This window comes from Homo sapiens, chromosome 3 (genome assembly GCF_000001405.40).
Source record: "Homo sapiens chromosome 3, GRCh38.p14 Primary Assembly".
Taxonomy (NCBI): domain Eukaryota; kingdom Metazoa; phylum Chordata; class Mammalia; order Primates; family Hominidae; genus Homo; species Homo sapiens.
The window spans coordinates 134,393,985-134,406,554 of record NC_000003.12 but is presented as its reverse complement, the minus strand read 5'-3'; the positions used below and the strand labels follow the sequence as shown (position 1 = coordinate 134,406,554).

Sequence of the window (12,570 nt, the reverse complement as noted above, 5' to 3'; positions counted from 1 at the left end):
CCTCTGGCTTTTAGCGCAGGGTTTAGGGGCCCCTCCTGGACGCAGAGTCCCAGGGTTCACAATCTGAGCCGGAGCGTCCTGCCTGGGCGTTCTGGGATGTAATCTGGCCTAGAGGAGCCCTGCAGCGGCCGCTCGCCTCCTTGAAGAGCCCCGGGAGCCCGTTTCAAATGCAGATGTTGGTTTTGTCTGCCTGCACGTCTGATCCTCCGAATTTATACCCATTGTCCGGGCCTCTTGGGATGCTGGGTTGAAAGAAGAGTTTCTCTTTTCTGAAATGGCAAATGCAGCCCTTTCAAGTCCTACCAGCCAGCCTGCTGCCCCCAGAAGTCTGTACCCATATTTGTTGAATATCACACACCCTCCTTTCATGTCAGTGGAAAGTTAAAAATGTTTTAATATATCCCGACCGAAAAGAAAATAAAACAAAGCTATGGTCATTGTGGAGCTTGCCTTTCAAACTACAACCTTGATCCGCAGATTCGAATCCTCCCTCCTTCCTAGGTATCTATCTCCCCAGCCTGTTTGAGAACCTTTCCTTCATCTCACTGTGCCCTCCCCTCCCCGCCGCCCCCCCACCCCCCCGCCCATACACACAAACAACAAGCACATCACATCTTTTTATAGATGGGAAAGCCAAGGCAAAAAGATGGGAGGAGCTATGGACAGCTGTGAACTTTATCTCTCTGTGGATTTAAAACAAAAGAGACCCACACTCAATTTGAGCTATTACTAACAGCCATTTCCATGCAAAGAGAACTGTCAGGGCTCAACGTGGGAGATTTGGGGCTGGTATCTCAGGTAAAGCTTCTCCAGACGGACACCTCAGTGGGGTTACCTGGGGCAGTAGCCCCAACTCCTGCTCAGTTTCTTGACCCTGCCGCCAAGAACGGGAGTGCCAGCACCCCAGAGGCTCCAGATCCCAAGAAGCACACTCTAACAAGGCTGGGCAGAGTTCCGTGCAGACTGGGGCTCTCCTCCTTAGAACTCTTGGTGCTTCCAGCCCATAATTCTCTATCCAAAGGGAGGCCTGGTGAGGATGAAATCACAACTGGAAATCAGAACTGGAAAGTGGGTAGTATATTGTACCTCAGATCTCCACTCTTGGACAGAACTGGAAAAACGGGGGGAAAATGTGCTTCTCTGCTTCCCTTTCACCATACCCTTCAGTTCGCAGATGGGTTCTTTCTCTATATTTGTAAATATCACATATTATTCCTTCTCTCTCTCTCTCTCCTCTTTTTCTGTGTGTGTGTGTGTGTGTGTGTGTGTGTGTTTGTGTGTAACACATATACCTGTTACAGAATTCAAAAGGAACAAATGGCTATTCAGTGAAAAACAAGTCTCCCTTCCACCCTGTTCCCAGATAGCAGTGTTTGCTTTTCTGTTCCTGCTTGGCCCCAAGAAGGCCTAGGTTTCCATCTCCTGCCAGCTGTGGGACCTGGTGCAAGACTCTTTTTCTCTTTGAACCTTGGTTGCCTTCTCAGTAAAACTAGTGTAAGACTACCTACAGCATGAGCTCATTAGGACTAAATGAGAAAAGTGTTCCAGGCCCGCTGAAATGCTGTGCACCCCTGTTATCACTATTTGACACAAAGCACTATTCTCATCCCCTCGCCTTGTCTAGCAAGGGCCGAAGGACAGAATTTGAAGACCTTGAATAAGAAAAGGAAAGATTTGTCAGAGGCATGAACTGCCAAGCCAAACTACACAAGTGTCACATCTGCTAACATCCTATTGGCTGAATAAGTCACTTGGCCCAATCCAAAGTCAAAGAGGGTAATGTTCACTCCATCCATCACGAAATAGTGGCAAAGGTATGTATTATCAGGGAGCAAAGAATTGGGAGCAATATTTCAGTCTGTCTTCTCTACATTCCCCATCCCCATGGCTTTAAATACCATGCATTTGCTAAGGATTCCCTAACTTACATTCCAGTCCACAGCTGTCCCTTAAGTTCCAAGCAGTCCCGAGTTCCCACAGCACTCTCTTCCTCCAATATCTCCACTTGCACATCTCACACACTTCTTCAAATAGAAGTCTTGTTTCCCTACCCCTAACCCAAGCCTGATCTCATCAGTGGCCCTTCCTTCTACCCACTTGCTCAAACCAGAGGCAAAGGATCCCCTTTCACCCACCGTCTCCCTCACCATCCACACCACGTTCAACCCACACAGATGATGTTGCCTTCAGAATGTGCTTCTCCCTGGCCAAGTCCCCAGCACCTCTCCCACCTACAGGTGGCTGCTGTAGTTTCTTGACTGCTCCCTTTGCTTCTGCACTTGCTTCCTTCATGCTTTTCTCAACACAGCCAGAGCAATACTCGTGAGTGAAAGGTCAAGCCATGTCACTTCTCTGCTCCAAACCTCTGACAGCTGCCATCTCGGAGAAAATTTGAAGTCCTTATGGTGCTCTGCAAGGCCCTACATAACCTGTCTTTGGTCCCCTACCTCTCTGACTTCCTCCCTAATACTCTGGCCCCCACATGGTTTGCTCCAGCCACACTGCCCTCCTTACGGCTCTGCAAACATCAGCAGGCACACACTGGCCCCAGAGACTTTGCATTGACTGTTCCCTCTCCCAGAAGTGCTCTTCCCCCAAATATTTGTACTGCTAGTGCTCTTTCTGAGGAAAACTTCCCCTAGTCACCTTATCTAAAACATCACCCCTGACTCAAACTTTCAGATCCCCATACTTATCACTGTCAAACGTATGATACAATTTACTTGTTTATTCTGCTTATTTTCTGTGTCTAGTAGAGATAATGTACGCTCCATGTTGGGTGACCACCCTAGTTTGCCCACGGCTGTCCCTATTTTAGCACTGAAATTACTATGTCCCAGGAAATTCCTGGAAAACTGGGATGGTTGATCACTCACAAGGGCAGAGATTTTTCTGTTTTGCTCACTATCTTATTTCTCTTCCTGGTGCTTAGCACTTTGCCTGGCACTCATTAAATAGTGGTTGAATGAATGAATTAGCAGTAAAAATGACCATCTGAAAATTTAAATCAGCTCGTATCTGTCCTATGCTAAAAATTAATTGATGGCTCCATGTTGCACTTGAAACACAATCTAAACTCCTTACCATGGTGTATTAGTTCATTTTCATGCTGCTGATAAAGACATACCCAAGACTGGGCAATTTACAAAAGAAAAAGGTTTAATGGACTCACAGTTCCATGTGGCTGAGGAGGCCTCACAATCATGGCAGAAAGTAAAAGACACATCTTACATGGTGGCAGACAAGATAAGAGAGCTTGTGCAGGGAAACTCCCTTTTATAAAACCATCAGATCTCATGAGGTTTATTTACTGTCATGACAATAGCACAGGAAAGACCCGCCCCCATGATTCAATTATCTCCCACTGGGTCCTTCCCACAATACGTGGGAATTATGGGAGCTGCAATTCAAGATGAGATTTGGGTGGGGACACAGCCAAACCATATCACATGGCCTCCAAAACTGCATCTCTTAGTCCTTTTCTGCAACATTTCATACCTCCTCTTCCTCCACTCTTGTTAGGCTCCTGGCCATCTGACCCCCTTCTAGCCTCTTCATGAGCACCCACCCTCATAACAGCTCTAGGTCTTTGCTGTTGCTGTTTTCTTGGCTTCCCTTGGAGGCACCCGCTTATCCCTCAAGATTCAGTTCAATCAGTGTGTCCTCAGAGAGGCCTTCCCAGGATTTCTGGTCACAGAGTCTTCCTCCAGTGGCTACAGCTGCTCACCCAGTGTATTTCCTGCATAGCCTCATCACTAATTATATTCACCCCTGTTTATCTGCATGCTTGCGTATTTATTACCTGTTGCCCACAAGGGCAGGAGCCTTGTCTGCCCTGTTCTCTACCACAGCACCACCCCCTTGAACACAATGAATTATCTCCCACATCTGCTGGAGCAACACCTTGTGGTCAGGGATGGAGGAGAGTGTTGGAAAGATTTCATGCACAGAGTGAGGAGCTAATTTCACTGAGGATCAAATGGGTTCTTTGGACAGTGAAGGAATTCCTTGTGTATTTTCAAGGAAGATATCTGTAATAAAAATTATATTTTCCATTTATTCAGTACTTAACATGGGCCAGGCATAGTGCTAAGCACCTTCTATACATCACCTCATTTAATCCCCACAATAATCTCATTATTATCTCTACTTTCAGCTATGAAAACTAAATGTAAAATACACTGTCCACTAACTACCTATCCATTCTTCACATCTTCTTTGTTAATAGAGTCCTGGCTTTGTGTAGGGTGAGAATGTGTCCAGCCCTGAGTAATGGATTACAATAATCCTGTTCCCTGCATTCCCAGACTCCCTTGCAGCTAGGAGTGGCCATGTGAGCCTATTCTGGACAGTGTGAAAGAAGTGGAGTCTGTTGAGTGGCAAGGTGTTCTAAGAAAGCTTCCATTTCTCCCACATCTTTCTTCCTAACTTAAGGTGTTGTGTTGTCTGGAGCCCTGGCAGCCATCTTCTAACCTTGAGAAAACAAGCTCCATGGTGAAAGTCATCAGACTAAATATTGCAAACCAGAAAAAGAGAAGTTCTTTCTTATTCTGGTCATATTGCTAACCAGCTGAACCAACACCAGAAACCACCTCCAATCTTTTTGTTGCATGAATGAAATAAGTCCCTATTTGTCTAAGCTACCATTAGCCAAATTTTCTGTCACTTGCCAATGAAAACATTCCTAACTAATAGATTGGGTTTCAGATAACTTTGGAAAGAATCAAACCTAGAGAGGAAGAATTCTGTCTGGAGATTGTGACTTGTGGAAGTCCAGCAGGATAATGACTGGAATTTATGCCCACATTTTGTTATGGTGATTGATACTGAAGACAGATGCTGAAGCCATTACTTTTGAGACTACTTCAAAGAGAGAAGAGGATAAAGGTCATATTCACTGCTGACCAGGATGTTATGGTGGATTTCCAAAAGTGACAGAGGGAAATCTATAGGAAAGGTTCAGTTTAAAATGCAGGGTTTTGCATTCTGACAAGGTATAAAAGAACCAACATTTTTCAGCATTTACTGTGCTCAAGCACTATGTCAGAATTTTTACCGTATCAGCCCATTTGAACTTCCCAATCGCCTTGCAATGCAGAAATTAACATCTCCACTTTGCAGAGGAGTGAACTGAGGCCTGGGAAAGCAGTAAAGCAAAATAGCTAAGAGCTACAGAATCAAAGCAATCCTACCTAAAAGCCCAGCAGGATTTTTTTTTTAAATAAATTGACAAGTTGATCCTAAAATCCATATGGAAATAGGAAGGACCTAGAATACCCAAAAACAACCCTGAAGAAGAGGTTAGAAGTCAGAGGACTAACATCTGATTTCAAAAATTATTATAAGGCTACCATAATCAAAACAGCATGGCATTGGTGCAAAGATAAACAAATAAATCAGTGGAACAGATATATTCAATATATAGCGATTTTCTTTCTTTTGGATATATACCCAATAGTGGAATTGCTGGGTCACATGGTAGCTCTATTTTCAGTTTTTTTAGAAACCTCCCTACTGCTCTTCATAATGGCTATACTAATTTACATTCCCACCAATAGTGTATTACATTCCCACCAATAGTGTATGAGGGTTCCCCCTTTCTCTACATCCTGGCCAGCATCTCTTATTCCTTGTCTTTTTGATAAAAGCCATTCTAAATGGGGTGAGATGGTATCTTATTATGGTTTTGATTTACATTTCTCTGATAATTAGTTATGTTGTGCATCTTTAAATATTCTTGTTAGCCATTTGTATGTCTTCTTTTGGGAAATATCTATTTGGATATCACCCATTTTTTATTCAGATTATTTGTGGTTTTTTACTAGGATGTTTGAGCTCCTTATATATTCTGGTTATTAATCCCTTGTCAGGTGGATAGTTTGCAAATAGCTTCTACCATTCTTTGGGTTATCTCTTCACTTTATTAATTATTTCCCATGCTGTGCAAAAGCTTTTTAGCTTGATGTACTATTATTTGTCTAGTTTTGCTTTTGTTGCTTGTGCTTTTGATGTCTTGCACAAAAAATGTTTGCCCAGACCAATATCATGGAGGTTTTCCCCCAACGTTTTCTTCTAGTAGTTTCATACTTTCAGGTCTTAGATTTAAGTCTTTAATCCATTTTGATTTGATTTTTGCATATGGTGAGAGTTAGGGGTCTACTTTCATTCTTCTGCATATAGTTATCCAGTTTACCCAGCACCGTTTCTTGAAAAGACTGTCCTTTCTCCATTCTATGTTCTTGGTGCCTTTGTGAAAAATGAGTTGGCTGTAAATGCATCGATTTATATCTGGGTTCTCTACTCTGTTCCATTTACCTATGTGTCTGCTTTTATTCCAGTATCATACTGATGTAGCTGCTATAGCTTCATAGCATATTTTGAAGTCAAGTAGTTTGATTTCTCAGCTTTGTTCTTTTTGCTTGGGATTGCTTTGGCTATTCAAGGTCTTTTGTGGTTCCATGTAAATTTTAGTGTTGTTATTTCTGTTTTTGTGAATATTGTTGTTGGTATTTTGATAGGGATTGCATTGAATTTGCAAATCCCTTTGTGTAGTATTGTCATTTTAACAATATTAGTTCTTCCAATCCATAAGCATGGAATATTTTTCCATTTTTCCATTTTTTAATGTCTTCTTTAATTTCTTTCATCAATGTTTTATAGTTTTCCCTAAAGAGTTAGTTCTTTCATATCTTCAGTTAAGTTGATTCCTAGGTATTTTTTATTTTTTGTAGCTATTGTAAATAAGATTACTTTCTTGATTTCTTTTTCAGATTGTCAGCATATATAAATGCTACTAATTTTTGTATGCTGATTTTATATCATGCAATTGTATTGAGTTCTTTTATCAGTTTTTTGGCGGAGTCTGTGTTTTTTTATATATAAAATCACGTTGTCTGCATACAAGGCTAATTTGACTTCTTCCTTTCCAATTTGGATGCCCTTTATTTCTTTCTCTTGCCTAATTGTTCGGGCATGAACAACTGATTTTTTTGACAAAGGCTCGAAAGTAATGCCGTAGAGAAAGAATAGCCTTTTCAACAAACAGTGCTGGAATAATTGGAAAAGCATATGCAAAATAGAGACTACAACAAAGAAGAAGAGGAGGAGCAGGAGGAGGAAGAAAAAAGAACTTGGGCCGGGTGCGGTGGCTCACACCTGTACTCCCAGCACTTTGGGAGGCCGAGGTAGGCGGATCACCTGAGGTCTGGAGTTTGAGACCAGCCTGGCCAACACAGAGAAACCCCATCTCTACTAAAAATACGAAAATTAGCATGGTGTGGTGGCGGGCACTTGTAATCCCAGCTACTCCAGAAAATGAGGCAGGAGAATCGCTTGAACCCAGGAGGTGAAGGTTGCAGTGAGCCAAGATAGCAGCACTGCACTCCAGCCTGGGTGACAGAGTGAGATTCAGTCAAAAAAACAGGGAAAGAAAAAGAAAGAAAGAAAGAAAGAAAGAAAGAAAGAAAGAAAGAAAGAAAGAAAGAAAGAAAGGAAGGAAGAAAGAAGGAAAGAAAGAAGGAAAGAAGGAAAGAAAGAAAGAAAGAAAGAAAGAAAGAAAGAAAGAAAGAAAGAAAGAAAGAAAGAAAGAAAGAAAAAGAAAGGAAGGAAGGAGGGAAGAAAAGAAAGAAAGAAAAGAAAGAAAGAAGAGAAAGGAAAGAAAGGAAGGAAAGAAGGACTTGGAGTCACTCTTTTTGCCATTAATAAAAATTAACTCAAAATGGATCATAGACATTAATGTAAGAGCTAAAGCTATACAACTCTTAGAAGAAAACATAGGAGTAAATATTCACAACCTTGTGTCGGTGATTGGTTTCTTAGATACAACACCAAAAGCATAGTCCATAAAAGAATAAGTGGATAGGTTGGACTTCATCAAAATTTAAAACTTTTGCTCTTCAAAATACACTATTAAGAATACAAAAAAGACAAGCCACAGCTGAAAGAATACATTTGCAAAGTATATGTCTGATAAAGGACTTCTGTCCAGAATACAGAAAGAATTCTTAAACTCAACAATAAGAAAATAAAGAACCCAATTTTAAAGGGGGACAGGGACAAAATATTTGAACAGATACTTTGCCAAGAAGATGTAAGGTTGGCAAATAGGCACATGAAAAGATGCCCAACAGCATGAGCCACTAGGGAAATTCAAATTAAAACCACAGTGAAATACTACTACACATCATTTAGAATGGCTGAAATTAAGATTTACTATACCACGCATTGGTGAGTAGGCAGAGGCAGTGATACTCTCATATGTTGTGGGTGACCATGTAAAATAGTACAATGAGTTCAGAAAGCCATTTGGCAGTTTCTTTAAACGTTGACATATGCTTACCATATTAACCAGCCATTTCTTTCCTGGGTGACTATTCAAGAAAAAAGGAACTATATATCCATACAAATATTTGAACTTGAATGTTCCTAGGAGCTTTATTCGTAATAGTAATGATTCTGGAAAAAAAGCCAAATGTCCATCAAAAGAGAAATGAGTAAACAAACTGTGCTCCATCCATACAATGCCGTACTACCTAGCAATAGAAAGCGATGAACTATTGATACACACGACATGGATGACTCATCAAGGGAATCATGCTAAGTGGAAAAAAACAAAAACAACAAAAAAGAGCCTACTGAATGATTCCACTTATATAAACGTTTAAACAAGGTAAACTAATCTATAAGAACAGAAAGCAGATCAGCGATTTCCCGGAGATGGGGTTGGGGAGAGGGGTGGAAGGGAAGGACTGAAATGCTGAAATTAACAAATTGTTACATGTAGTTTATTATATGTCCATAACAGTAAATAAGACTTGTTGGGTTTTTTTGTTGTTGTTGTTTGTTTGTTTGTTTGTTTTGAGACGGAGTTTCACTCTTGTTGCCCAGGCTGGAGTGCAATGGCATGATCTCAGCTCACTGCAACCTCCGCCTCCTGGGTTCAAGTGATTCTCCTGCCTCAGCCTCCCGAGTAGCTGGGATTACAGGCATGTGGCACCACACCCGGCTAATCTCTACAGACGGGGTTTCGCCATGTTGGCCAGGCTGATCTCAAACTCCTGACCTCAAGTGATCTGCCCGCCTGGGCCTCCCAAAGTGCTGTGATTACAGGCGTGAGCCACCACGCCCGGCCAAGACTGTTTTGTTTTGTTTTGTTTTGTTTTGTTTTGAGATGGAGTCTCGCTCTGTCGCCCAGTCTGGAATGCAGTGGCGCAATCTCGGCTCACCGCAAGCTGCGCCTCCTGGGTTCACGCCATTCTCCTGCCTCAGCCTCCCGGGTAGCTGGGACTACAGGCGCCCACAACCATGCCCAGCTGATTTTTGTATTTTTAGTAGAGACGGGGTTTCACTGTGTTAGCCAGGATGGTCTCGATCTCCTGACCTCGTGATCCGGCCGCATTTTAAAAATACCCAAGAGCACACAAGGGGTCAGTGGGGAAGCCAGAGTCCTTGCCAGATCTCCAGAGCTCAGGAGCACAAGCTCTGGCCACGGTCGCGGGCTGCCTCTCAGATGGCCTGTCTGTTGGCAGGGGCTGTGTGTGAAAACTGTGGATGGAATAGCTGGAATTCTTTACACAAATGCCAGGAAATCCAGGGGCTTCTGGGTACCATATGAAAATATAAGAGAGAAAAAGAGGCTCATTTTGTGAGAAAAATGAAAGATACTTTATGGGGTCACGGAACCATGGAAACAACCCTGCCAGCCCTTCTTCTTGGTGCTTGTTGGGGCTGGGTGGGTGTTGGGAAGAGCAAACCCCAGTTCTGCCTGCCCTTTCCAGCCAGGGTCTCACACAGAAGCAGTCCATGGTGCCCACTGAGGCTGGCAGGAGGGCAGCAGGGGAGAGGGGCCATCCATGGGCATCCAGGGAGGTGAGACTCAGGCTGCACAGAGGTGCGGGGCAGCAGAAGCCCCAAACTCGGAGAGTGGGAAGTTACGCTGTTGGGCGGAGTCAGAGTAGGAGCACAGAGGTTCCCCTGAAGGAGGCCGGTGTCACCTGCAGCTTTCCCTAGTGCCCAAGCTGAGGTGAGGGTGTTCCCCACAAAAGCAAGCTATTCTTGGCAGGTAAAGACACACTCATACCTCACACAGCTACCCTGGCTGTGGGCATGGTAGCAAATTGACTGCTGGTTCTGCTAACCAGTTCAAACTCTGTCAGCAGAGCTTGTCACTTTGTAACCAGGCCTGGACCATATTATCTACTCCTTCTTCCATTCAACGGATATTTATTGTGCCAGCACTCTTGTAGTGTCTGGAAATCGTGGTCCCCGGAGCTAACATTCCAGCGAGGAGAACAGACCATATGCAAGACAAATAAGTGAACATACAGTGTCTCAGGTGTCGGTAAAGTGTGGTGGAGAAAAATAGAGTTGGGACAGGAGACAAAGAGACAGGAAGGGGTACGGACAGAGCTGGGAGGGACTGGGAAGGAAGTTGCACAGAAGTTCTAGTGTGACCCTGCTCTTCTTTTGTCTCCTATGATGGTCTTCCCCTAATCTTGTAGCCGACAACAAAGAATCAGGGTGCACTTTGTTGCTCCCCTGCGGTATCCAAGAGCCCAGAGATGAGCCAATACCACCCGAACTGAGCACTTTCCTCACCTCCCTTCCAAAAGCCAGTCCTGCTAATCCTACCTCCTAACCTTAGAAAGGTCCTATCCAGAAGTCTGTCATTATTCTACCTTCTGTATATTCAGGTCTGCTTCTCCACACATGATCACGCTTCAAAAATTCCCATGGCCCTGCCTCTTCTCCTGTGTTCCTCACCTATCATGCCCTCCTCCTACTCAAACACTTCACACTCAAAGGTGAAACTCTAACCCATCCATTTCCAGAATCCCTCCTTGCCCACATCAGCCCTGTGGACCTCTCTTCCTGATCTCTGATAGCACAGTATACCTGAGCCCCATGATTGAGGCAGTGGTCTCCTGACTGTTGATTTGGTGCCTCCAGCCATCCTGGTTGTGCCTCCTGTGTTTTTATCTCTTCTGTGTCCCTGAAATGCAAGTTCATCTGAGCAAACAAAAGGTACACCACAGATATAGCTCATTTCTCCCTTAAAAACAAGGCTTTGCTTTGTCTAAATGTTCTTCTCTCCATCTGAGAAATGAAAAAGGTTTGGAAAATTCCAGCATGGGAGTGTTCAGCCTTATTTGAGTTGTGCAAGTGGGAAAAAATGTGCTTTTCCCAAAATTAAAAAAATTTCCCCAGCCTTTCCTCTGAAAGCAATTCACAAACCTCTGAGACCAGTATGTAAGCTTGCCAGTTTCTTCACCTCTCTGAGGAATGAATTGTCCTCCCATTTGTATGTCATGGGCACGCATGCATTTGTGGGCAAAAGAGGAGAATGGAGTCAGAGTGGAAGTTAACCAATCTTGAAAATGAAGCATGTGACAAGTGGAAAAGGCAAGCTCTTTGATGCCCAAGTCCCCTGGCTTTCCAGTGTACAAAAGAACCCACTGCTCAACAGCAGTAACCCCTGACTGTTTCTATTCTTCCTCTGCATCTATCCCAGTGTTTCTTCTTTCTGATGAAGGCAGCTGCCATGTTGTGAGTTGCCCTGTGGAGAAGCCCATGTGTCAAGAAACTGAGGGTGGGCTGGGCATGATGGCTCATACCTATAATCCCAGCACTTTGGGAGGCTGTGGTGGGTTGATCACTTGAGGTCAGGAGTCCAAAACCAGCCTGGCCAACATGATAAAACCCTGTCTCTACAAAACAAAAAAAGACAAACAAAAAAAACACAAAAAAATTAGCTGGGAATGGTGGTGAGTGCCTGTAATCCCAGCTACTCGAGAGGCTGAGGCACGAGAATCACTTGAACCTGGGAGACGGAGGTTGCAGTGAGCCAAGATCACACTGTACTCCAGCCTGGGTGACAGAGCAAGAATCCATCTCAAAAAAAAAAAAAAAAGAAAAAAGAAAAAAGAAGAAAAGAAACAGAGGGTGGCTTCTGGCCATTCAGTGAGGTCCTGAGGCACTCGGTCCAACAGCCTGCAAGAAACTGAATCCTGTCAACAACCATGTGAGCTTGGAAGCAGATACTCCCACATTTGAGTCTCCAGATGAGACTGTGGCTGCAGCCAGTGCTTTGCTGGTAACTTGTGAGAGATGCTGAGCCACAGGACCTAGCTAAGTGGCATCCATATTTCAGATCCATGGTAACTGTAAGTTAGTAAACTTTGTTGTTTTAAGCCACTAAGGTTTGGGGTAATTTGTTATGAAGCAATAAATAACTCATATGCCAACTATGTGCCAGGCACTATTCTTGGCTCTGGGGACAGAGCAGAGGACAAAACATACAGCATCTTTGTGCTGACATAGCCGACATCTAATGAGGGAAGGCAGATGATAAATAAAGCATGTCGACCACTTTAGTGTCCCCCAGAATTCATGTATTGGAAACTTAGTCTCCAATACAACAGTACAGGGAGGTGGGGTTTAATGGGAGGTGTGTAGATCATGAGGGCTCCACCCTATGAGTGAATTATTGCTTGTAGGCTGGGAGCAGTGGCTCATGCCTGTAATCCCAGCACTTCGGGAGGCTGAGGCTGGCAGATCACGAAGTCAGGAGAT

General features: G+C 43.6%; 1 annotated feature.

Moving 5' to 3' along the window:
• Positions 21-727: an enhancer, noted in NCBI's record as "NANOG-H3K27ac hESC enhancer chr3:134124670-134125376 (GRCh37/hg19 assembly coordinates)". NCBI's record gives its function as "activates a minimal SCP1, AML or CMV promoter by ChIP-STARR-seq in naive H9 embryonic stem cells {active_cell/tissue: H9 hESC(naive)}" and the evidence as "EXISTENCE:reporter gene assay evidence [ECO:0000049][PMID:30033119]".